Below are 24166 nucleotides of genomic sequence, written 5' to 3'. Positions count from 1 at the left end.
GTTGCTCTGTCGCCCAGGCTAGACTGCAGTGGTTCGATCTTGGCTCACTGCAACCACACCTCCTGGGTTCAAGCGATTCTCCTGCCACAGCCTCCCGAGTAGCTGGGATTACAGGTGCCCACCACTGTGCCTGGCTAATTTTTGTATTTTTTGTTTTTTTCAGTAGAGATGGGGTTTCACCATCTTGGCCAGGCTGGTCTGGAACTCCTGACCTCGTGATCTACCCGCCTCAGCCTCCCAAAGTGCTGGGATTACAGGCGTAAGCCACCGCGCCTGTCCACTTTCCAGGATGTTATGAGAGTCCAGACGCTTCCCCAACCCTGAAACTCTAATTACGGCTCAGCTAAGGTAAACTTTTTTTTTTTTGAGACGGAGTCTCACTCTGTCGCCCAGGCTGGAGTGCAGTGGCACAATATCGGCTCACTGCAATCTCCACCTCCCAGGTTCCAGCGATTCTCCTGCCTCAGTCTCCCGGGTAGCTGGGATTACAGGCACGCACCACCACCCCTGGCTTATTTTGGTATTTTTAGTAGAGACGGGGTTTCACTATATTGGCCAGGCTGATCTCGAACTCCTGAGCTCAGGTGATCCACCCACCTAGGCCTCCCAACGTGCTGGGATTACAGGCGTGAGGTTATATATATATATATTAGGGAGACGGCATAGAGACTCAAGGTCACACAGAATTAGGTCCAGACTATTCCAAAATGTATGCTTTCCAAACACCAGGCCTCGAAGTCTCCAAAATCAGCACATTTATTTACCAAACAGTCACGGAGTGCCTACAGTATGCCAGGCACTGGATACAAGGCAGTGGACAAAACAGAGGGTCTCCTGCCCTGGTGGAGTTTACTTACCAGGCAGACAACAGCCACAGAGGCAGGCAGGGGAAGGAGGCCCAATGTATTCTAAGCTGCGCTGTGGGTTGGAGCTCTCCAGCTCTCATATGGGAGTGAGTCATTCACATGGTCACTGCCCCCCACCCGAAATGGAAATGGGCTTTTGGGCAGGGTCAAGGTAAACGGAGTTAGTAGAGGGAAGGACTACTTCTCTTTCTGAAGTAGGGGGGCTTCCCTCAAAAGGGAAAAACTTCCGAGTGTTAAAAACCATTCCAAACAAGCCCCTGGTCCCTGGCTAAGGAGGTGGGCGTGGAGGGAGAAACTGAGGTGTGCGGCGCACCCCTCCGGCAGCGATCACTCCGTAGCTGGAGGCACAGCGGACGTCGGACAAGGGGGAGCTCAGCCCGCACGACACCCACTTAGGACGTGGGGAAGCTCGGCCCGCACGACACCCACCTGCGCCGCGGGAGCTCGCGCGGGGCCCCGCCCCCTCCCCTGGCGGCGCGGGCACTGAATGGGCAGCTCCGGATCCAGCCATCCCCGCCATCGCCGCCACCCCTCCCCCGGCCTTGGGCTCCCAGCGCCGCTGCCGTCACTGGGCGGGGAGCTGCGGGGCTGCGAAGCAAACAAGCCGGGAGCGCCGGCCGGGTCCCCCGGGCAGAGGGGCGCTGCCCTCCCCCATCCGAGAAAGGGGAAGGAGGCGCAGCCCGTCCAGGACCCGCCCCGCCCGGCCCAGGTTCGGCCCGGGTGCCCGCGCCGGGGGGTGGGCGCGGACCTTTCTGCCCCCTGGGCCGCGCGGGCCAGGGCGCGAGCCCCCCGGGGTTCTTGACTCGACTTTACCTCCTTCTTCACGTTCCACAGCAGTTTCTCTTTGACTGCGTCCTCTGCGCTGCCCATGGTGTGGCAGGAGGCGGCGCCGAGCGGTCCTCAGAGCCCCCGCGCCCTCGCCGCCTCCGCGCCTCTCGGCTCAGCGCCCCACGCGCAAGGCGGAGCCCCCGCCCGCCGCGCTCCCGGCCCGCCGCCGCCGCCGCCGCCGCAGCCACTGCCCGGTGCTCGGCTCCGCAGCCATCTTCCGAGCCCCGCACAGACGTCAGGCGGCAGGCCCGGCCCCTTCCCACAGCCGGAGGGGGGTTGCGCACAGCGACGGGGGATCGGGGCGGGGAGAGGCCGTGCGCGCCTAGGGGCGGCAGACCCGGGCGCGCGCCACGGGGGTCGCTGTCATGGCAACGCACCCGCTCCCGCATGGAGGGCGCGAAGCCGCATTGTGAGCGCTGGCCCTGGAGCCCGCGGCCCCGCGGCTGAGAGCGAGCCTCGGTCCCGCTGAAGCTCCCCTGACTTCTGCCTGCTCCCTCTCCCGACGGGACGGAAAGGGCCGGGGCTCGGGCATGGGGTCCCCTGCGGTCCGAGCCTGCCCACGGCGAAGCCGGTGCAGCCTGGCCCCGTGACCCCTCTGAATCCCCGTCCGGCCGTCGCCGTGCAGTTGTCAAGTTTCTGGGAAGATTAGTGGGAGCGCAGCCGCCCGAGCCCGACGGCCGGAGGGTCGCGGCCAGTCCCCCTTGCCGGGTCGCCACGTCCCACAAGGTCCTTCCCGGCCGCTCCGTGGGAGGCGGGGCGCAGGTTGGAGTAACAGGGACGGGCTTGAGCTGGTACGGAACCGGGCAAGGTGAGAGAAGTGTCTTCCACGCGATTCCCAAGCCTCGCTAGGGAATCGAGGGAGAAGAAAGGTTGCTCAGAGTGATAAAGAACATGCCGTTGCAAACGGAAGAGCAACGTGCCCGAATCTAGGTGACAGGAAGGGCTTAGGCCTTTTCGGCACGAATGGAGCCTTCCAGTCAACATGCTTCTACGTGATGCAGCTTTATAGCGCAAAAAAATGACAATGCAAGGGGTACAAACAGCCCTGCTAGACCAACAGCCCGAGCCTCGACAGTCTACATCCGGCGCCTTCAAGCCCCCAACCACACACTGCGAAGTGGGAAAAGTTCCCAGCGCGGCTTGGCGAACCCGCTAACACGGCGCTCTCACGAGCTGCTGGAAAAGACCTTCGCGAGAGGGCGCAGGGAGTCCCGCTCCCTGGAGGGCCCGCCCCCTTGGAGGGGACCGGAAGCGCTTGTCCTGGCCCGGAAGCAGTGCTGACTCCGTACACGCGCGCTGCGGCATGGCGGCCCACCGCCCCGGCCCGCTCAAGCAGCAGAATAAAGCTCATAAAGGCGGACGGCATCGGGGTCGGGGATCTGCACAGCGGGACGGCAAGGGTAAGGAGATAACGTAGAAGGAATAAGGGCTATTTGGCCGTTATTAACTCTTTTTCCTCATGCCCAGACTGAGCTTCTGTCTCCCGTCTGGGCTCCACGCGAAAGGCCCTTTCTAAGGTGGGCGGAGAGGAGTCCCTTTTCTTGACCTTGTGGGGCCGATCACACCAGCCCCTTCTAATCTGCCATTCAGGCCGTCTGGCACTGAAAACCCTAAGCAAGAAGGTGAGAAAAGAACTCAGCAGAGTCGACCAGAGGCATCGCGCCAGCCAGCTCCGAAAGCAGAAGAAGGAGGCGGTGAGAGGAGCGGGATTTGGGAGAATGCGGCTTCTCTGGTGTTCTAGGTGGCTAATGCCTCGAAGTGGAAAATGAGACCGGGAGGAGGGTCCAGGGACAGAGCATAGCCCTAGAGCACGTGTCGAGCGTGCAGGTCTAGCATTCTTTGCTTTGGTCAGAATTCCTGCCACCCCGCTGGCATACCTGTGGTCTTTTACTAGAGAGATGCTGGTTTTGGGTAGGGGGAGCATCTGTGGGAGTGGAAATGCAATGCTGGAGTGAAGTACTGAGACACTGAGATGTTCTCGGATATCTTTCTATTTTCAGGTTCTGGCAGAGAAGAGACAGCTGGGTGGCAAGGATGGCCCTCCTCATCAGGTACTGGTGGTGCCCCTGCACAGCAGAATTTCCCTGCCAGAGGCCATGCAGCTGCTTCAAGATAGGGACACTGGAACAGTACACTTGAATGAATTGGGAAACACCCAGAACTTTATGCTGCTGTGCCCCCGCTTGAAACATCGGTGGTTTTTCACCTCAGCAAGGCCAGGTTAGAGTATACACCAATATTTTGTATTATGTTTGAGTAGTGGTATTTTTTTTTTTTTTTTTTAGAATAATGTGCTGGTGCCAACCACCTCTTCTTACTGTGTCTTCTATCTGCAGGGGATCTGCACGTTGTGTTAGACATGGCTAAAGTAGCTGATACCATCCTGTTCCTCCTTGATCCACTAGAAGGCTGGGACAGCACCGGTGATTACTGTCTTTCCTGCCTCTTTGCTCAGGGCCTTCCGACCTATAGTAAGTGAGTTAGCATTTATTGTGCACCTTTAATTTGTCAGGCACTATGCCTGGTATTTGATACAGGAATACAACTGATGGATCATATTCAGCTGGTGGTGGGATGTACACATATGGATTAAACTTGATCCATTGTTTACAGATTATCACTCAGGGTGTCTTTTTGTTTTTGGCTGTCCTTTGCCCAGAGAAACAAGGATATGAAGTTTGATTTCACTGTGAAATTCCTTCAGGGTAGTTCAGTGTTGGGCTTCCCAGTGATCTCTGGGCTTGCAACTGAGCTATTAGGTTGTTTGTGAACTGCAGAGGGATTTTTATGTAATGAAGCAGTAGGTCATGAAGCGTTTTCTCTTTCGCTTACAGCACTAGCTGTCCAGGGGATTTCTGGCCTCCCACTGAAGAAACAAATAGATACCAGGAAGAAGCTAAGTAAAGCAGTGGAGAAGCGCTTTCCGCATGACAAACTCCTCTTGTTAGACACTCAACAGGAGGCAGGGATGCTGCTTAGGCAGTTGGCTAACCAGAAGCAACAGCATCTTGCTTTTCGAGATCGGCGGGCCTACCTATTTGCCCATGCTGTTGATTTTGTTCCTAGTGAAGAGAATAACTTGGTGGGCACCTTGAAAATTTCAGGCTATGTTCGAGGGCAGACTCTGAATGTCAATAGGTTGCTGCATATCGTTGGATATGGTGATTTCCAGATGAAACAGATAGATGCCCCCGGAGACCCTTTCCCTTTAAATCCTAGAGGAATTAAACCCCAAAAGGACCCAGACATGGCAATGGAGGTAAGACTGATATTCTTAATTCATGTTCATATGAAAGTTGGCACAGGAAGGAAACTTAAATTCAGAGAAGATAGTCTGTACACTTAGGTGAATGAGGAGACTGCTAGTCTGAAGTAAGGCAATAGTCAGTTATAAATAGGTTGATAAATCACATATTTATCCAGCACTTTCTAGGTAGTCTGCACTGTGATTGGCTCTGAGTTTATAGAACACACTCAAGATGTGGTTGCTTTCCTCAAGGGACTTAATTGGGCTGGAACAAAATGGCATGTGTGAAATAAAGATTGAGATAGCATATGGTTAGAGTGCGGACCAGCAGTGGAAGTTGAGAAAGTAGACTAGCAAGCTTCACATAAGAGATCAGACTTGAGCTAGGTGTTGAGAAGGATAAATGTGATTTATGAGTTGAAGAGGGATAAAAGAATATCCTAGAAGATAAGAGACAGAATGAACCTAGGCACAGTGGTGGATCAAAGGGTTTATGTGAACCTTGAAGAAATCAGCTTGATGGGAGTGAGGTACGTAATAAATGGATAGGAGTGGGAGCAGATTAAGAAAGACCTCAAGAGCCAAGCAGAGACTTAAAATACCCTGGAAATTAGAAAACAGCCATTGGAAAAGTTTTGACAAGTTTTAGCATTCTGTCGCACTCATCTTATACATGAGGACTGATATTTCTGGGTCTTTCTGGTTACTGTGTTAGATTTAGGAGATTTTTGGTTCATGGTTGACTATCACCTGCTTTTGGTTTTCAGATTTGTGCTACGGATGCTGTAGATGATATGGAAGAAGGTCTTAAAGTCCTAATGAAGGCAGACCCTGGTAGACAGGAATCCTTGCAAGCAGAGGTTATCCCAGATCCAATGGAGGGAGAGCAAACCTGGCCCACTGAGGAGGAGCTGAGCGAGGCAAAGGGTCAGTATTGGTAAACTTGTCTGTAATTCATCTGACCTGGAATTGTGGATTTTCTGTAGCTGTTCCAAGTGAGGGCCCTATAGGATAGAGTGGGGTGGGGGTATAGTTGAAAGTCTCTCCTCACCCTCAAATGCTGTATGTTTTCAATAAACAAACATTATACACAGTCTTGTTCCATTTCTCAAAATTACTTGTGTTAATGTTTTATCATGAACAGATAAACAACTTTGGATTCATTGCAGGGCTTATTTAGCTGTGTAAGTATTGCTAGTTGTGAGGCAGCTGAATTAAATTTGGAAGTAGTTCTATTTACAGTGTCTGCCAGAATTTCCCATGTTGGCAGCAGTATCTGGTGCCTTGCCTAGGTGAGAATAACCAGAGGGATAGGGAAAAGAAGTCTGTAATTTACTTAATTTGTTTGGGCTTTTACAGATTTCTTGAAGGAAAGTTCTAAGGTGGTAAAGAAGGTCCCCAAAGGAACATCCAGTTACCAAGCTGAATGGATTTTGGATGGTGGCAGCCAAAGTGGTGGGGAAGGAGATGAATATGAATATGATGATATGGAACATGAGGATTTTATGGAGGAGGAATCTCAGGTAAGGAAATGAGGCCTTAGGCCAATTCTGTGTCTAGCTCCAAATGTAAGGCAAAGTGCAGGTGTGATCTTGATGGGTGTGTGTGGTTAGTTTCTTTTTTTTATTTTTTTTATTTTTTTTTTATGAGACGGAGTCTTGCTCTGTTGCTCAGGCTGGAGTGCAGTGGTGCGATCTGGGCTCACTGCAAGCTCTCCCTCCTGGGTTCACGCCATTCTCCTGCCTCAGCCTCCTGAGTAGCTGGGACTACAGGCGCCCACCACCATGCCTGGCTAATTTTTTTGTATTTTTAGTAGAGACGGGGTTTCACTGTGTTAGCCAGGATGGTCTCAATCTCCTGACCTCATGATCCGCCTGCCTTGGCCTCCCAAAGTGCTGGGATTACAGGCGTGAGCCACCGCACCCGGCCGTGTATGGTTAGTTTCTTAGGAATGACTCTGTAGTTGCCAGGAATGAGGCTTTTGTTTTATACTTTAGACTGTATTAGAATTTATGTTGGTTGGGAATAGGGATCTAGTACAATTATTTTACTCTTAGCTTATTGGCCTTTGGGGTAGAGACAGGTGTGGATTTCTTCTGAAAAAACTGTAATCCTATTCTACAGGATGAGAGTAGTGAAGAAGAGGAAGAATATGAAACTATGACTATTGGGGAGTCTGTGCATGATGATCTGTATGATAAGAAAGTAGATGAAGAAGCTGAGGCAAAAATGTTGGAGAAATATAAACAAGAAAGACTGGAAGAGATGTTTCCAGATGAAGTGGACACGCCCCGTGATGTGGCTGCTCGAATTCGGTTAGTCAACAAGTCTATCAACAAATCTAAATTCAGTCAATACGTTTTTAAAAACTTGGCTCAGAGCTGTGTCACTGTGATGCAAAAGAAGAAAAACACATTTTTTCTGCTCCTGAAGAGCTAACATTTAATATGGGAAGGCAGGACATACATACGGGAAATGGTCATATGTAATTAAGTTCTAGACTGTGGTGCAGACTCACGTTACAGGACTTGAATGAAGGGGAAATACTAAGGTTAATTAGCAAATACTTCTTCCCAAAGGAGCCAGTACTCAATTGAAGTATATAATGTTTGGAAATTTTAGGGGGTTTGGGTAGAATAGCAGAAGTAGAAGAGTGAAGAAGTAGATGATTATATCTGTTCTGGAGGTGAGTGACTAAAGCCAGTGAATTAATTTTGGATATTAGGAGGTAAGGCTATGTATTAGGCCATTCTCGCATGGCTATAAAGAAGTACCAGAGACTGCATAATTTATAAAGAAAAGAGATTTAATTGGGTCATGGTCCTGCAGACTGTACAGGAAGCATGGTGTTGGCATCTGCTCAGCTTCTGGGGGTGTCCTCAAGAAACTTACAATCATGGCAGAAGGTGGAGGGGGAGCAAGTCATGTCACACGGCCAGCGCAGTAACGAGAGCAAGGCAGGAGGTGCTACACACTTTAAACAACTAGATCTCATGAGAACTCACTCAACAAGGAGGGTGGTGCTAACCCACTCATGAGAAAACCTCTCCCCTAATGCAGTCACCTCCCACCAGGCTCCACCTCCAACACTGGGGATTGTATTTCAGTATGAGATTGGGGCAGGGAGACACATCTGAACTGTATCAGGCCATTACCAAGCATCTTTTTTGTCAGTGAGAAGCTTGGGTTTGGTTCCGATAGAACTTGTTATAAGCTGTTCGGAGTGTCGTCTTGGTTTAAGCTGTTGGGTTGTTTGGAGAGAGGATGATTGGAGTTCTTTTCAGCTAGCTCCTTAGCCATTTTAGCAGTGACTTGAGTCTATATAGCACCATATAAATCTGACTTAATGTCTTTAAAAATCTTCAATATTCTAGATTTCAGAAATACAGAGGCCTTAAGAGCTTCCGGACATCTCCATGGGATCCTAAGGAAAACCTTCCTCAAGATTATGCTCGAATATTTCAGTTTCAGAACTTTACTAACACTAGGAAAAGCATCTTTAAAGAGGTTGAAGAAAAAGAGGTTGAAGGAGCTGAGGTATCTATCCTCCTTGTTCATCTTGTATGTTGCTTTCATTTGTCAACATGCTCCCTACTTTATTCCTTCTCTTGGCATGAAAATATGCTGCATTTGGGGATTAGGGGAGCCCCTGAGTCATTGATTAGAATGATACTGGGAACAAAGAGGTATCAGCTATGTTAAATGAAAAAGTGTGATCTGGGTAAATGAAGCATCTTGAAGGATGAGGGTTGGCTTTAAAAATTTTATCTGAGAGACTCAACATATTTGGAGAAAGCTTCCTCGCTATTGGGACTTTGAAAGGTAACTCCATGATTGCTTTCTGCTTTCTTGTGGCAGGTTGGCTGGTATGTCACACTTCATGTCTCTGAAGTCCCCGTCTCAGTGGTCGAGTGCTTCAGGCAAGGAACACCCTTGATTGCATTTTCTTTACTACCTCATGAACAGAAGGTAAATTGCTGTCTTGTGGGAAAATGGGGGGTTGTGAAACTTTCCAGCTGCTTCTGACAGTCTAAAATTCTGTTTATGTGTGACTAAAATTTTGCTCATTGGGATGCAAAAAGTCTGCCTTTATGATTAGGAATTGGAGAATAATAGAGAAGTCAATGATGGTTTTATTCATATCGTCTGAACCTGTCTGAAGCATCTCAGTGATGCAATCTCTGTGTGGTTCTGAGACTTCTCCAAGTATGTTTTTCAGACCAGATTTTGAATAAGGGTTGGCAGCCTTAAAAATAAAGGTTTGGCTGGGCGCGGCGGCTCACGCCTGTAATCCCAGCACTTTTTGGGAGGCCAAGGTGGGTGGATCACCTGAGGTCGGGAGTTCGAGACCAGCCTGACCAACATGGAGGAACCCTGTCTCTACCAAAAATACAAAATTAGCCAGGCGTGGTGGCACATGCCTGTAATCCCAGCTACTTGGGAGGCTGAGGCAGAAGAATTGCTTGAACCCAGTAGGCGGAGGTTGTGGTGAGCCAAGATTGCACCATTGCACTCCAGCCTGGGCAACAAGAGCGAAACTCTTATGTCAAAAAAAAAAAAAGTTTATGCCAAAGTGCAGATCTCTTTTCTCTTGGTGGCCAGTAGTTGTGTATGTTGTGGGGTATGTGATAGTTCTTTGATCGGTTTTGGTAAGGGCTCAAGAAGAAGGGGCTTGAATGAGTGTGGTTTTGAGATTGTGGTGAGTGAATGCCTTGAAGGCCACTGATTTTTGTGTGGCAGATGTTGAGCTCTTTTCTGTTAGGTGCAGGAAGGTAGGTTAGCATTGAAGGGTGCATGAAAGCTCTGATCAGCCTGTGTTTGGCTTAAATGCCAGTCATTGGTGGAGGTAAAGGATGAACCCGTGTTTCAGCATCTACACTCCACCATTAATTAGCATTGTCAGTTCTTAGAATGAGTCTGAATCTGCTAGTTTGGTTTGCCTTCTTTCAGTTTAGGCAATTGTATTCCTAGACTATGAAGATTTTTGTTTTTCTTACTTGGTCCCCAGATGTCAGTATTGAATATGGTGGTGAGGCGTGACCCTGGCAACACTGAACCTGTGAAAGCCAAGGAAGAGCTCATATTTCACTGTGGATTCAGGCGCTTCCGAGCCTCACCTTTATTCTCTCAGCACACTGCAGGTTAGCAATGGGGAAGCTGGGTTCTTGTCCATCTTGTCTTTTGGGAAAGTGACTTGTGGTGGAGGGGTGCCAAAATATATGGTTTCAAAATCTTACATCTCTGGGTTAGAGGTATTTTCAGTACTCTGGCTTAAGAGCCAATGATGTTTTTATTCAAAATGTCTGAACCTGTCTGAAGCATCCCAGTGATGCAACTTCTGTGTGATACTGAGGCTTTTTTGCCATGAGTATTTGTTCCATAGCAGGTTTTGAATAGAAGTTGGCAGCTTTATAAAAAGGGTATTAGGGTGGGTGCAGTGGTGCAGTGGTTCACACCTGTAATCCCAACACTTGTGGCATTAGAACGGGGAATTGAAGACCAAAAAAGGTAAGATTTAATCTTGTTTTTGTTTCTGTTTTTTTTTTTTTTTTTTTTTTTTTTTTGAGACGGAGTCTCACTCTGTCGCCCAGGCTGGAGTGCAGTGGCGCGATCTAGGCTCACTGCAAGCTCCGCCTCTCAGGTTTACTTACACCATTTTCCTGCCTCAGCCTCCCAAGTAGCTGGGACTACAGGCGCCCGCCACCATGCCCAGCTAATTTTTTGTATTTTTAGTAGAGACGGGGTTTCACCGTGTTAGCCAGGATGGTCTCTATCTCCTGACCTCGTGAGCCGCCCGCCTCAGCCTCCCAAAGTGCTGGGATTACAGGTGTGAGCCACCGCGCCCCCTCTTGTTTTTTTTGTTTTTTTTTGTTTGTTTGTTTGTTTGTTTTTTTGGAGACGGAGTCTTACTCCGTTGCCCAGGCTGGAGTGCAATAGCGTGATCTCGGCTCACTGCAACCTCCGCCTCCCGGGTTCAAGCAATTCTCCTGCCTCAGCCTCCCGAGTAGAGTAGTTGGGACTACAGGCATGCACGACCATGCCCAGCTAATTTTTGTATTTTTAGTAGAGATGGGGTTTCACCATGTTGGGGTTTAGTAGAGATGGGGTTTCACCAAGACCAGGAGTTCAGGCTGGTTTTGAACTCCTGGTCTCAGGTGATCCGCCCACCTCGGTCTCCCAAAGTGCTGGGATTACAGACATGAGCCAATGTGCCTGGCCTCTTTTTTTTTTTTTTTTTTTTTGAGACCGAGTCTCACTCTGATGCTCAACTGGAGTGCAATGGTGCAATCCAGGCTCACTGCAACCTCTGCCTTCCAGGTTCAATCAGTTTTCCTGCCTCAGCTTCCCGAGTAGCTGAGATTACAGGCACCCGCCACCACGCCTAGCTAATTTTTGTATTTTTAGTAGAGACGGGGTTTCACCATGCTGGCCAGGCTGGTCTCGACCTTAGGCGATCCTCCTGCCTTGGCCTTCCAAAGTGCTGGGATTACAGGCGTGAGCCACTGCGCCTGGCCAGTCATTCTTTTATTGTTTCAAAATGGTTTTGATTTTTTTTTTTAGGATGAACTATTTTCATATTTTATACAGTTGGGAAAATAAGGAATAATGTAAAAGTAAAATTACCTTATATTAGAGAAAATTCATTTTTATTTTATACATTTTCATCCAGATCTCATTTTTTTTCTTTACACAATTTGGATTGTAATTGTAAATATGGTGTTAAACATTGCATTTATCACTTAATTGATTTTGATCAATTTTCCATAAGATTAATTAGTTAATGAGACTTTTAATGCTTTATTGTCATTTGGATATATTCCAGTGTATGTGATGTACTGATACTTATTTGAGCTTCTACGGGTGAGCACTTAGGCTATTTCTAATGTTTTGCTCTAAACTAGATCTGTATGCATAAAACTTTATTTACTTCTTTGCTTATTTTGTAAAGGCAGATCCTTAGAACTGGAACTAAATAAAAGTCTCAGTTGCAGAGACTGAGGCAGGAGGATCGCTTGAGGTCAGGAGTGTGAGACTCCGGTCTCTACAATTTTTTTTTTTTTTTTTTTGATATAGAGTCCAACTCTGTCACCAAGGCTGGAGTGCAGTAACATGATCTCAGCTCATTGCAGCCTCCCCGTCCCAGGTTCAAGTGATTCTGGCGCCTCAGCCTCCCAAGTAGCTCGGACCATAGGTGTCTGCCACCACGCCCAGCTACTTTTTGTATTTTTAGTAGAGATGGGGTTTCACCAAGTTGGCCAGTCTGTTCTCAAACTCTTGACCTCAGGTGATCCACGTGCCTTGGCCTCCCAAAGTGCTGGGATTTATAGGGATGAGCCAACATGCCCGGCCTCTACGAAAAAAAAATTTTTTTTTTTGGGAGATGGAGTTTCACTCTTGTTGCCCAGGCTGGAGTGCAGTGGCAGGATCTTGGCTCACTGCAACCTCTGCCTCCTAGGTTCAAGTGATTCTCCTGCCTCAGCCTCCCAAGCAGCTGGGATTACAGGCGTGTACCACCATGCCTAGCTAATTTTTCTATTATTAGTAGAGATAGAGTTTCACCATCTTGGCCAGGCTGGTCTCAAACTCCCGACCTCAGGTGATCCACCCGCATTGGCCTCCCAAAGTGCTGGGATTACAGGCATGAGCCACTGCGCCCGGCCAAAAATTTTTCTTTTTAATTAGCCAGGTGTGGTGGCATGTGCTTTGCAGTCCCAGCTACTTGGGAGGCTGAGGCAAGAGGGATTGCCTGAGCCAGTGGGCCCAGGAGTTTGAGGCTCCAGTGAGCTGTGTTCACACCACAGCCCTTAAAATATTTTATTTTCCTATAAGTTTAGTATTTTTAAAAGGGGGGTGAGGGCTACATTGAAGGTAGAACACCAAATACAGTCTAGCCTAGATAGCAGAGTGAGACACTGTCTCTCAGAATTTAAAAGGGTGTGATAAAGTGTGGAAACTTTGATGTCTAGTGTGCCAAGGGCAGTGTGGGTGAAGGAATGGAGGCTGGGTATGGCTCATAGTTGGGTAAAGCAGAGGTAGGGGTCCTGAGATACTGAGAGACTACTGGACGGGACTTGCAGCAGAAATGATTGTCTCCTACACAGTAGGAGCAGGAAGATATGTTGCCCACTAACTTGGGGGCTTCTGAACATCGTCCTAGTTCACTCACTCTCAGCAGTGGCAGGAGGAATATGAAGAAAGCAGTATTAATGGTGTTTTGGATAATTTTTATTCTCACCAATTGTGAGAATCACAATCTCTAAGTGAGATTAATTTTTCTTTGCCTTAAAATATTTTATTTTCCTTTAAGTTTAGTATTTTAAAAAGGAGGTGAGGGCTACCTTGAAGGTAGAACATCAAATACAGTCTAGGCTCCAAGATTCTGACTCCAGATAAAAAAGTTACTGATCAGGCACCTGCAATTCCAGCTATTCGGGAGCCTGAGGCAGAAGAATCACTTGAACCTGGGAGGTGGAGGTTGCAGTGAGCAGAGATGGCACCATTGTACTCCAGCCTGGGCAACAAGAGCGAGACACCATCTCAAAATAAATAAATAAATAAAAAGTTACTGATACAGCCTGGCGCGGTGGCTCACGCCTGTAATCCCAGCACTTTGGGAGATTGAGGTGGGTGGATCACAAGGTGAGGAGTTCGAGACCAGCCTGGCCAACATGGTGAAACCCGGTCTCTACTAAAAATACAAAAATTAGCCGGGCGTGGTGGCATGTGCCTGTAATCCCAGCTACTCAGGAGGCTGAGGCAGGAGAACTGCTTGAACCCGGGAGGCAGAGGTTGCAGTCAGCTGAGATCACACCATTGCATTCCAGCCTGGGTGACAGGAACGATACTCAAACTCAAAAAAAAAGAAAAAAAAAAAGTTACTGATAGGACTAGATCGTATCTTTTAGGTGCATTGAGGCAGCGAAAATTTTTGAGAACTGGTGGTTTAGAGAAGTAGAAGCTGCCATAGGTTTAAGAGTTGCACTAATACAGCTTTTCACAGGCCTCTATCACCTCTGGTTTCTCAAAATGGTTTTGCTTTTCATTTTTTAACCCTTATGGCAGCGGACAAACATAAATTGCAGAGATTCCTGACTGCTGACATGGCCCTGGTGGCGACAGTCTATGCGCCAATCACTTTTCCTCCTGCATCTGTGCTGCTTTTCAAGCAAAAAAGCAATGGTAAGTTGAGCCACAGAGATGAACAGACCCTGCAGGTCCTTAATAGATGAACACCGTTTTCTCTTGTTTATTTAAATTTGGGAGCCAAATGGTATGGAGAAGGTAATGATGGTTTTCAAAATACAGTAAGTCTTCATTTAACATTGTTAATAGAACAATGAAAACTCCAACTTTTACGTGAAACAGTGTATAGCCAGTCCTCAAATAACTGCCTTTTGTTCAACATCCTTTCCTTGTAACAACTGATGAGAAAAAGTATGGTTTTGTTATACATCATTTCTCTTGAAGTACAAGTTTTCAAGAACCTATTGACAAGGTTAAGTGTGGGCTTACAGTTTACCAATCTTAGCCTCAGATTGGGCTAGGGCAGGGATGACAAACCAGGCTCTTGCATGGGTCTTTAAATGGACTGGGCAATAAATGAAGACTTTGGCCTGTAAATTCCTAAATAGCTTCTTTGCTTTTGTCCTTTAGGAATGCACAGCCTCATTGCTACAGGCCATCTTATGTCAGTAGATCCAGACAGAATGGTCATCAAGAGAGTTGTTCTGAGTGGTCATCCTTTCAAAATTTTTACTAAGATGGCAGTAGTACGTTACATGTTCTTCAACAGAGGTGGGTATGAAGGAGGAGGATGGGATCTGATTGCCTTTGTGGTATAAAGGTTGGGTTTACATTTTGTGGGTAAATGTTTCATCTTGGTCTTTAATGTGTTTGATTCTAAGAGGATGTGCTGTGGTTTAAACCAGTGGAACTGAGAACGAAGTGGGGCCGGAGAGGACATATCAAGGAACCTTTAGGTAAGGAAACACGGGATTTGAGACCATGTCTGCATTTCTGCAGTGTTGCTAAATGACTGTTGGGTTGGAAGTCATTGCTTTAAAATTTTCTACTTTTAATTTGACCGACTTGTTCTGATGTCTTTCTAGGTACCCATGGCCACATGAAATGCAGCTTTGATGGGAAGCTAAAATCTCAAGACACAGTACTGATGAACCTGTATAAACGAGTCTTCCCCAAATGGACTTATGATCCATATGTACCAGAACCAGTACCCTGGCTGAAAAGTGAGATTTCTTCAACAGTGCCTCAAGGGGGCATGGAGTAATGGATTCAAAGAGATTCTGTCTTACCGGTGCCAGTCAGTACTCCAGGGATGGGAGGCACAAGTTGTGATTGGGCAAAGTTTATTTTCTATGTCAGCCTGTCAGTCCACTGCCCCATTTTGCAAGACTTTTTTTTAGCCTTGACAAAATGTCTCAGTTAAGTATAAAAGTTTTTCCACTACTTAGTCCAAAAAAAACTATTAAATCTTAATGAAATAGCCACTCTCCATTAAGAATCTGATAACTAAGAGTTGACAATACTAGGAAACAAAATGTCTTCAGTATCTAAAGACACTGAATTCCCACCATTTCCTTTTCTGTAAATTAAACAGAAACAGACTGATAAGAAGCTGGCCTTTCAGCCTGCTTCACCCAAGTTATGGAGGAGGTTAAGTCTACATTTCCACCACTGAGCACAATACAAATGTTCTTTACTTCTGGGGAAACAGTTTGAAAATGTTGAGACAGCACAGCAGCCACTCCAACACCAGCTGTAGGTTCAATGAGTAGTTTCATCCTCTCCCACACCAGCTGGGTTGCACACTGTTGATATGGAAGGGAGTAGGAATTAGTGAAAGGGGAGTCTAGTTGGTTTACCTATAAAGTTCAGATGAGAATACGTGTCCAGTTTGAATTTTCTTATCACTGTGTACACACGCTTCCCAAAGCTTTTCTTTAATTCTGACTCTGCTTCTGTCAAGAGGGTTGTCATTAATACATCTAGGGTACCCTCCCATGTCATGAAGTTACCTAGTCAGGTTCCCGTGGGTCACTTGCTACTCCTAAGGGAAGTTTCTTCTGCCTAAGAAGTTACACCATGCTTTGCTATTTCTTTTCTTGCTGGAGCCTCACCTTAATTTCATCCTCTGTGACAGTGAAGATATCATCCACAAGGTCCCTGATAATAGGCCAGGTGTTCAAGCCAATGCTGGATTTGACACCATCTGCTATGGTTTCTGGAGGATAAAGATTGGGCATCAGTTTCCCCTTCAGCTTGGACTGGTAGCAGTCATCTGCATTTGAGGGTTCAGCAGCATATACCTTCACACTAGGTTTCAGAGCCTGGGAAGAGGAATATTAAGACATCTTAACAACAAACCACAACATTGCCTGCATGTCTAAAAGAAAATATGGGCCTGGTGTGGTGGCTCACACCTGTAATCCCAACACTTTGGGAGCCCGAGGCGGGTGGATCAGCTGAGGTCAGGAGTTCAAGACCAGCCTGGCCAACCTGGTGAAATGCAGTGTCAACTAAAAATAGGAAAATCAGCCAGGCGTGGTGGCAGACCCCTGTAATCCCAGCTACTCAAGAGGCTGAGGTAGGAGAATCACTTGAACTTGGGAGGGGTAGGTTGCAGTGAGCTGAGATCACACCAAAATGGGGTGGGGCGCAGTGGCTCACGCCTGTAATCCCAGCACTTTGGGAGGCCGAGGTGGGCGGATCACGAGGTAGGGAGATCAAGACCATCCTGGCTAACACGGTGAAACCCCGTCTCTACTAAAAATACAAAAAAAAAAAACAAAAAAAAACTAGCCAGGCATGGTGGCAGGCACCTGTAGTCCCAGCTACTCGGGAGGCAGAGGCAGGAGAATGGCGTGAACCTGGGAGGTGGAGCTTGCAGTGAGCCAAGATCGTGCCACTGCACTCCAGCCTGGGTGACAGAGTGAGACTCCGTCTCAAAAAAAAAAAGAAAATAGGCACAATAAGTAATACATTTCTGCCCAAGTAAGAGCCTTCCCTTTTGTGGATGTAATGAAAATATCTTCAAGCACTTTATAAATAAATTATATGTCTGATACTAGCCTTCCATTGCCTGGATCACATCTGATTGTCCTGGTAATTTGAGAAAAGGGTAGCCCCTTGGTATGGATAGTAGCTTGATGACATGGAATTCAGGGAAAAGACTATGATGGTGTCACTTGTAACTGCTTTTGTGCTGTAAAATTGTCATGGATTAAGAAGAGAGTTGGCTGGGTGCGGTGGCTCACACCTGTAATCCTAGCACTTTGGGAGGCCAAAGTAAGGACTGCTTGAGCCCAGGAGTTCCAGACCAACCTGGCCAACACAGCAAGACCCCATCTCTTAAAAAAAATAAAAATATTAGAAATAATAAATAGGCCGGGCGCAGTGGCTCACGCCTGTAATCCCAACACTTTGGGAGGCCAAGGCGGGTGGATCGCAAGGTCAGGAGTTCAAGACCAGCCTGACCAACATGGTGAAACCCTGTCTCTACTAAAAAAAATACAAAAAAATTAGCGGGGTGTGGTGGCTCATGCCTGTAATCCCAGCTACTCAGGAGGCTGAGACAGGAGAATCGCTTGAACCCGGGAGGTGGAGGCTGCAGTGGGCCAGGATCGTGCCACTGCACTCCAGCCTGGGCAACAGCGAGAATCTGTCTCAAAAAATAATAATAATAGTAAATAGAGTAGTGAGGCAGAGATGGGCCTTCATCTCAAGTCCCAAAGGAATAAGGGGAAGGAATGGTAATGTGTGCAGAATGTTGAGCACGTGTATACAGAACATTTAGGATGTAAAGTAAATCCTCTGCTTGAAGCAGGGAATCCTCCAGAAGCTGCTCACCTTAACTGTAATTGCTATTCCAGCAAGCATTCCTCCTCCACCTACAGGTACCACCAGTGCATCCACCAAAGGAACCTTTAGTGAAAATATAAACTGTAAGCAGTTTTATATTTAATGTATACATATAAAATAATTGAATATAGCCCAACAGCTTTACCAGTAGCTAAACAGGAAGAACTCAGCTATTTTACCTGGTTCAGCACTTCCAGGGCAATTGTCCCTTGTCCAGCTATCACTGCAGGCTCCTGGTTGGGATGTACCATGATGCCTTCTGTTTCTTCTGTAACTCTTTTTGCAACATTTTCTCTGGACTGAAAGTACATTAATTTAGCTTAATTGATTTGTATTTAATAGAGTCCCCAACAAGTTCCATTTGGTCATTCAGCATTTTATTGACCATCTACTTTTTTCACACTTTGTTCAGGTACTAGAGATATATATGTTAATAAAATATCCCTGCCCTCAAGCACGTTATATTGTATGGTAGAGATGGATGAAGTAAATATATGGTATGTCTAAGTGCAATGGAGTAAAATGAAGGAATTTATTTCATATAGGGTAGCCAAGAAGAGCCTCTAGTAAAGTGACATTTTAAAAGATCTGAACAAGTGCTGTGGATGTCTAGAATATTCCAGAGAGGGGGTAACAGTGCAAAGACTACAAAGTAGGAGTGCTTGGCCTTTCTGAGGAACAGCTAAAAAGGTTAGTATGGCTGGCACAGAGTGGGCAAGAGAAATAATAGAAGATGAGGTCAAGGCTGGGTGCAGTGGCTGACACCTATAATCCCAGCACTCTGGGAGGCCAAGGTGGGCAGATCACTTCAGGTCAGGAGTTCAAGACCAGCCTTGCCAACACGGCAAAACCCCGTCTCTACTAAAAATACAAAAATTAGCCAGATGTGGTGGCACGCGCCTGTAATCCCAGCTACTCTGGTGGCTGAGGCATGAGAATCTCTTGAACCCAGGAAGCGGAGGCTGCAGGGAGCTGAGAAGAAACTACCGCACTCCAGCCTGGGTTGGACAGAGTGAGACCCTGTCTCAAAATAAATAAAAAGAAGATGAGGGACCAGGCACGGTGGCTCACACTTGTAATCCCAGCACTTTGGGAGGCCAAGGCGGGCAGATCACGAGGTCAGGAGTTCGAGACCAGCCTGGCCAATATGGTGAAACCCTGTCTGTACTAAAGAATCAAAAATTAGCTGGGCATGGTGGCACGCGCCTGTAGTCCCAGCTACTCGGGAGGCTGAGGCAGAAGAATCGCTTGAACCCAGGAGGCGGAGGTTGCAGTGAGCCGAGATTGTGCCGCTGCACTCCAGCCTGGGAGACGGGGAGATTCTGTCTAAAAAAAAAAAAAAAAAAAAAAAAAGATGAGAGATGAGGTCAGAAAGATAGGAATGTTTGAGTTTATCCAGGGATTAGATGATTGCAAGAACTCTCGTTTCCACCGTGTATGAGATGGGAAACCAACAGAGGATTTAGACTTGAAAAGAGACAAGTTCTGGCCAGGCGTGGTGGCTCACGCCTGTAATCCCAGCACTTTGGGAGGCCGAGGTGGGTGGATCACGAGGTCAGGAGATCGAGACCATCCTGGCTAACACAGTGAAACCCCGTCTCTACTAAAAATAGAAAAAATTAGCTGGGCATGGTGGCAGGCGCCTGTAGTCCCAGCTACTCGGGAGGCTGAGGCAAGAGAATCGCTGGAACCCAGGAGGCGGGGCTTGCAGTGAGCCAAGATGGCACCACTGCACTCCAGCTTGGGCGACAGAGCAAGACTCCGCCTCAAAAAAAAAAAAAAAGAAGAGACAAGTTCTGACTTTATTAAATGGAGACCTCTGGTTGCTCAAAAAAGCCTGTAGTGTGGCAAGGGTGGATGCAGAGAGACCAGTTTGGCTACTGAATTGAATATAGGTGAGAATTGATGTTGGTTTGAATCAGAGTGCTAACGGTAGACACAGAAGCAGTTGGGTTATGGAAATATGTTGAAAGCAGACTGAGATTTGGATGTGGGGTATGAGAGGGTTATCAGAGAGGATTCCTGGCTGTGTGCAGTGGGTCATGCCTGTGATCCCAGCATTTTGGGAGGCCAAGGTGGGAGGACTGCTTGAATCCAGGAGTTTGAGACCAGCCTGGGCAACAGTGAGACCCTGTCTACAAAAAATAAAGGAATTAGGTGTGGTGGCATGCACCTGTAGTCCTAGCTACTCAACAGGCTGAGGCAGAAGGATCCCACAACATAGAAAGAGTCCATCTTTAACAACAACAACAAAAAATTTTCAAAAAAAGATGACTCCAACTTTTTTTTGAGTAACTAGAAGAATAAAAATTGCCATTTACTAAGATGAGGAAGACTGGAAGGGAAGCAATATAGGGAAGTAAGATCAGGAGTTTGGTTTTAGCTGTAGTTTGAGATGCCTTTTAAGACATCAAGTGGGAAAGTTAGGTAGCTGTTATATAAAAGTTGGCTGTTAAAGGGAGAGAAGTTGGAGTTGGTGTTGTTAGACCATAGGTAATAATTTAAGAAATGAGACTAATGAGATCTTGTGAGTGTAGATAGAGAAAAGGTTGAGCATGCTAACAGAAATAAAGGGGAAACCACAAAGGAGGCTGAGAAGGAGCAGCCAGTAAGGTAGAAAGAGCCATTGGTCAAATGAAAGCTGTTAAGGTGGTACCAAGCACTGCTCTCCTTACCTCATCACTAGGTTCACAGTATACAATTGACGCTCCGTAGGCTTGTATTGCAAGTTTTTTACAGTCTGGAGCTGTCTGGGGCACCACAATATAAGCAGGAATTCCTGGGAGAGGAAAACGAGAGGAAAAAGTCAGGAGAATTTAGAATAGAAACTTATGTGGCCAGGCACGGTGGGTCACACCTGTAATCCCAGCACTTTGGGAGGCTGAGGCAGGCGGATCACAAGGTCAGGAAATTGAGACCATCCTGGCTAACACGGTGAAACCCTGTCTTTACTAAAAATACAAAAAAAAAAAAAAAAAAAAAAAATAGCCAGGCATGGTGGCAGGCTCCTGTAGTCCCAGGCTGAGGCAGGACAATGGTGTGAACCCGGGAGGTGGAGCTTGCAGTGAGCCGAGATCCTGCCACTGCATTCCAGCCTGGGCGACAGTGCAAGACTCCGTCTCAAAAAAAAAAAAAAAAAAGAAAGAAACATGTTCAGCCAGGTGTGGTGGCTCACGCCTGTAATCCTAGGACTTTGGGAGGCCAAGGCGGGTGGATTGCTTGAGCCCAGGAGTTCGAGACCAGCCTGGGCAACATGGTGAAATTAGTATTTTGTATTTGTAAAATAGAAAAAATTAGCCAGGCGTGGTGGTGCGCACCTGTAGTCCCAGCTACTCAGGAGGCTGAGGCAGGAGAATCGCTTGAACCCGGCAGGTGGAGGTTACAGTGAGCCGAGATCGCGTCACCGCTCTCCAGCCTGGGTGACAGCAAGATTCTGTCTTCAAAAAAACAAAACAAACAAAAAAAAAACTTATGTTCATATTGCTTGCAATCAGATAGAGATTTCTTTGGAAAGTTACTTCCCACAGCTATCATCACTCTCACTGAAATTAAGGGCACTTTTCCACTCCTTTCTGAAGATCTACCCAGTACCTTGAGAAATCAAGTACCTTCCAATTTGGCAGCATAGGTGAGAGCCTGGCCATGGTTTCCACTGCTGTGAGTAACAACAGCTTTCGGCTTCCTTTCTAAAGCATCAGGAACCAAGCTTCTGACGGCATTGAGAGCACCACGAATCTGAAAAAGAGGGATGGTGAATTCACATATTTGATTAAAACATTGTTTTGGAAAGCAAGGAGCTTTTCTAGATTTTCTATCCTTAACATGCACATCCAATCTGTCACCAAATCTTATCGATTTACCTCTTAAATATCTCATGTGCATCTTTATTTTTTATTTTTTTGAGATGGAGTCTCCGTTATCCCGGCTGGAGTGCAGTGCCACGATCTCGGCTTACTGCAACGTCCGCCTCCCCACACTGCGTCTACCCCCAGGGCCGGGTTCAAGTGATTTTCCTGCCTCAGCCTCCCAAGTAGCTGGGATTATAGGCACCTGCCACCATGCCCGGCTAAATTTTTTTTTTTTATTTTTTTAGACCTAGTCTCGCTCTGTTGTAGCCCGGGCTGCAGTGCAGTGGCGCGATCTCGGCTCACTGCAAGCTCCGCCTCCCGGGTTCACGCCATTCTCCTGCCTCAGCTTCTCGAGTAGCCGGGTCTGCAGGCGCCCGCCACCACGCCCGGCTAATTTTTTTGTATTTTTAGTAGCGACGGGGTTTCCCCGTGTTAGCCAGGATGGTCTCGATCTTTTGACCTCGTTATCCGCCTGCCTCAGCCTCCCAAAGTGCTGGGATTACAGGCGTGAGCCACCGCACCCGGCCTTTTTTTTTTTTTTTTTTTTTTCCCCCGAGATGGAGTCTTCCTCTATCACCCATGGTGGAGTGCAATGGCGTGATCTCAACTCACTGCAACCTCTGCCTTCTGGGTTCAAGCAATTCTCCTGCCTCAGCCTCCCAAGCAGCTGGGATTACAGGTGCCTGGCACCAAGTCCCGCTCATTTTGTATTTTTAGTAGAAAGTGTTTCACCAAGGCTGGGTGCGGTGACTCATGCCAGTAATCCCAGCACTTTGGGAGGCAGAGGCGGGCGGATCACAAGGTCAGATCAAGAACATCCTGGCTAACACGGTGAAACCCTGTCTCTACTAAAAATTCAAAAAAAAAAAAAAAAAAATTAGCTGGGCGTGGTGGCAGGCGCCTGTAGTCCCAGGTAATCGGGTGGCTGAGGCAGGAGAATGGCGTGAACCTGGGAGGTGGAGCTTACAGTGAGCCGAGATCGTGCCACTGCACTCCAGCCTGGGGGACAGAGTGAGACTCCGTCTCAAAACAAAACAAAACAAAACAAAAAAGCGTTTCATCATGTTGGTCAGGCTGGTGTCGAACTCCTGACCTCAGGTGATCCACCTGCCTCAGCCTCCCAAAGTGCTGGGATTACAAGTGTGAACCACTGCGCCTGTCATATATTTGTATTTTTTGTAGACAGAGTTTTGCCGTGTGGCCCAGGCTTAGATCTTTTATATTGATAATGTATCCATGTGTAGCAAGTTGATACAGTGAATGCTTAAACTTGGGTCATATACAGAGTGATAACACTTTCCAATTTGCCTGCAACAGTTCAGGTGTCTGTTTAGATATTTCAGGTTGCTTCTTTCAGTCCCAAACATGTCCTAGTTTGGATAATAAATTATGTCTTAGTTTGGACAGTAAGTGATGGTATATATAATAAAGTCATGCTTTGCTTAAGGATGGGGATATGTTTCGAGAAATGCATGATTTGGCAATTTCATCATCTTGCATGCACCATAGAGTGTACTTATACAAATCCAGCTGTTACAGCCTATTACTCCTAGGCTGCAAACCCTGTATAGCATGTTACTGTACTGAATACTGTAGGCAGCTATAACACAATGAGAAGTATTTCTGTATCTAAACACAGAAATCGTACAGTAAATGTGTGGTATAACCTTATGGGACCAAGGACCACCATCATATAGGTGGTCTGTCATTGACTGAAACGTTATGTGGCATATGACTGTATTTTATGTATATATTATATATATGCACATACATATATATAAAAATTACTCGGATAAGTTATATATATTATCCTAATTATAAGGATTTATGACTGTGTAAAAGTTGCTTATCAACACTATGATGCTAGGTAAAACAAGGACTTGAAAGGAAAATTTCTGTAACCTTTTTTCCAGCTGTATAAAGGCATTAATTTACTTCTGCCTATCTCATTGGGTGGTCAGGAGAATCAAACTGATATGTGAAAGGGTGTGAAAACATACATGATACACTGAGAAAAAGGATTGTTACCTTAAAAGATCCTGTTTTCTGGAAGAGTTCACATTTGAAGAAAAGATTGCGCCCTGTTAGTTGATTCAAAATGGAGCTTGTTAGCACTGGTGTGAGGTGGATAGAATCTCGAATGTTGATATGAGCTTTTTCAACATCAGCAAAGGAGATGCAATACTGAGCACACATGGTTCTGAAACCCAGGAATAAGAAAGGGGTCAAAGCAAAGTCTGAGACAGTATGTTTATTGAAGAGATTTTGAAAATACGTAACAGAATAGACCTGGGGCCTGTGGTGTCATGTGGAAATTCTCCATTATTGGAGTGTCAGAATTTCCCTAAAAGAGAGTTGACTTAAAAGCTGAACGAAGTTTTTCTGGTGAAGCTTTGAGGGAAGTAACTGATGGTGATTACAGAAGGCTAAAGCCCACTCCCCACCCACACCACCCATCTCTTGGCACTGTTGGCACTGCCACTGGTCTCCATCTTCCT

At 46.8% G+C, this 24166-nt stretch overlaps 3 protein-coding genes and 2 non-coding genes across 34 annotated transcripts in view, besides 6 other annotated features; 3 read left to right on the top strand and 2 right to left on the bottom strand.

Moving 5' to 3' along the window:
• Positions 1 to 1924, bottom strand: part of SGSM2 (small G protein signaling modulator 2) — a 43554-nt gene extending 41630 nt beyond the window's left edge. For all 26 annotated transcript variants that reach the window (XM_011524101.4, XM_011524102.4, XM_011524103.4 and 23 more), the window contains exon 1: positions 1680 to 1924. In XM_011524101.4, the coding sequence (XP_011522403.1) occupies positions 1680 to 1736 (57 nt within the window). In that variant the 5' untranslated portion in view covers positions 1737 to 1924. The remainder of the gene's footprint in view (positions 1 to 1679) is intronic.
• Positions 1241 to 1550: a silencer, noted in NCBI's record as "silent region_7994". NCBI's record gives its function as "represses an Ori minimal core promoter by ATAC-STARR-seq in GM12878 lymphoblastoid cells {active_cell/tissue: GM12878}" and the evidence as "EXISTENCE:reporter gene assay evidence [ECO:0000049][PMID:35858748]".
• Positions 1581 to 1680: a silencer, noted in NCBI's record as "silent region_7993". NCBI's record gives its function as "represses an Ori minimal core promoter by ATAC-STARR-seq in GM12878 lymphoblastoid cells {active_cell/tissue: GM12878}" and the evidence as "EXISTENCE:reporter gene assay evidence [ECO:0000049][PMID:35858748]".
• Positions 1781 to 1890: a silencer, noted in NCBI's record as "silent region_7992". NCBI's record gives its function as "represses an Ori minimal core promoter by ATAC-STARR-seq in GM12878 lymphoblastoid cells {active_cell/tissue: GM12878}" and the evidence as "EXISTENCE:reporter gene assay evidence [ECO:0000049][PMID:35858748]".
• Positions 1991 to 2300: a silencer, noted in NCBI's record as "silent region_7991". NCBI's record gives its function as "represses an Ori minimal core promoter by ATAC-STARR-seq in GM12878 lymphoblastoid cells {active_cell/tissue: GM12878}" and the evidence as "EXISTENCE:reporter gene assay evidence [ECO:0000049][PMID:35858748]".
• Positions 2331 to 2460: a silencer, noted in NCBI's record as "silent region_7990". NCBI's record gives its function as "represses an Ori minimal core promoter by ATAC-STARR-seq in GM12878 lymphoblastoid cells {active_cell/tissue: GM12878}" and the evidence as "EXISTENCE:reporter gene assay evidence [ECO:0000049][PMID:35858748]".
• Positions 2691 to 2800: an enhancer, noted in NCBI's record as "active region_11490". NCBI's record gives its function as "activates an Ori minimal core promoter by ATAC-STARR-seq in GM12878 lymphoblastoid cells {active_cell/tissue: GM12878}" and the evidence as "EXISTENCE:reporter gene assay evidence [ECO:0000049][PMID:35858748]".
• On the top strand, positions 2968 to 17029 carry TSR1 (TSR1 ribosome maturation factor). Its single transcript, NM_018128.5, has 15 exons — positions 2968 to 3094; positions 3285 to 3388; positions 3695 to 3914; positions 4031 to 4165; positions 4529 to 4953; positions 5709 to 5868; positions 6301 to 6464; positions 7066 to 7256; positions 8316 to 8478; positions 8800 to 8910; positions 9950 to 10082; positions 14005 to 14121; positions 14596 to 14736; positions 14847 to 14921; positions 15051 to 17029. The coding sequence occupies exons 1-15, from the start codon at positions 2998 to 3000 to the stop codon at positions 15227 to 15229; spliced, it is 2415 nt and encodes an 804-aa protein (NP_060598.3). The 5' UTR covers positions 2968 to 2997; the 3' UTR covers positions 15230 to 17029.
• On the top strand, positions 9055 to 9146 carry SNORD91A (small nucleolar RNA, C/D box 91A). Its single transcript, NR_003072.1, has one exon. It is a non-coding gene; the product is annotated as a small nucleolar RNA, C/D box 91A (small nucleolar RNA).
• SNORD91B (small nucleolar RNA, C/D box 91B) lies at positions 10215 to 10300 on the top strand. Its single transcript, NR_003073.1, has one exon. It is a non-coding gene; the product is annotated as a small nucleolar RNA, C/D box 91B (small nucleolar RNA).
• Positions 14161 to 24166, bottom strand: part of SRR (serine racemase) — a 21887-nt gene continuing 11881 nt past the window's right edge. For 3 of the 5 annotated variants that reach the window (XM_006721565.4, XM_011523974.4, XM_006721566.4), the window contains exons 2-8: positions 23697 to 23868; positions 21429 to 21555; positions 20496 to 20599; positions 18000 to 18119; positions 17809 to 17883; positions 16080 to 16289; positions 14161 to 15770 (exon numbers count right to left, since the gene is read on the bottom strand). In XM_006721565.4, the coding sequence (XP_006721628.1) occupies positions 15552 to 15770; positions 16080 to 16289; positions 17809 to 17883; positions 18000 to 18119; positions 20496 to 20599; positions 21429 to 21555; positions 23697 to 23864 (1023 nt within the window). In that variant the 5' untranslated portion in view covers positions 23865 to 23868 and the 3' untranslated portion in view covers positions 14161 to 15551. The remainder of the gene's footprint in view (positions 15771 to 16079; positions 16290 to 17808; positions 17884 to 17999; positions 18120 to 20495; positions 20600 to 21428; positions 21556 to 23696; positions 23869 to 24166) is intronic. The other 2 variants (NM_021947.3, NM_001304803.1) reach the window with 2 other exon arrangements.

The sequence above is a fragment of the Homo sapiens genome, chromosome 17 (assembly GCF_000001405.40).
Source record: "Homo sapiens chromosome 17, GRCh38.p14 Primary Assembly".
Taxonomy (NCBI): Eukaryota; Metazoa; Chordata; class Mammalia; order Primates; family Hominidae; genus Homo; species Homo sapiens.
The sequence above is the reverse complement of the archived record's forward strand: the minus strand, read 5'-3'. Positions and strand labels throughout refer to the sequence as shown.

Bases quoted from the DNA above. Each gene is read 5' to 3' on its own strand.
- TSR1 (NM_018128.5), top strand. From the start codon at position 2,998: ATGGCGGCCCACCGCCCCGGCCCGCTCAAGCAGCAGAATAAAGCTCAT. The intron at 6,465-7,065 runs GTAAGGAAATGA...CCTATTCTACAG, and splicing joins TTATGGAGGAGGAATCTCAG to GATGAGAGTAGTGAAGAAGA. The intron at 7,257-8,315 runs GTTAGTCAACAA...TCAATATTCTAG, and splicing joins GATGTGGCTGCTCGAATTCG to ATTTCAGAAATACAGAGGCC.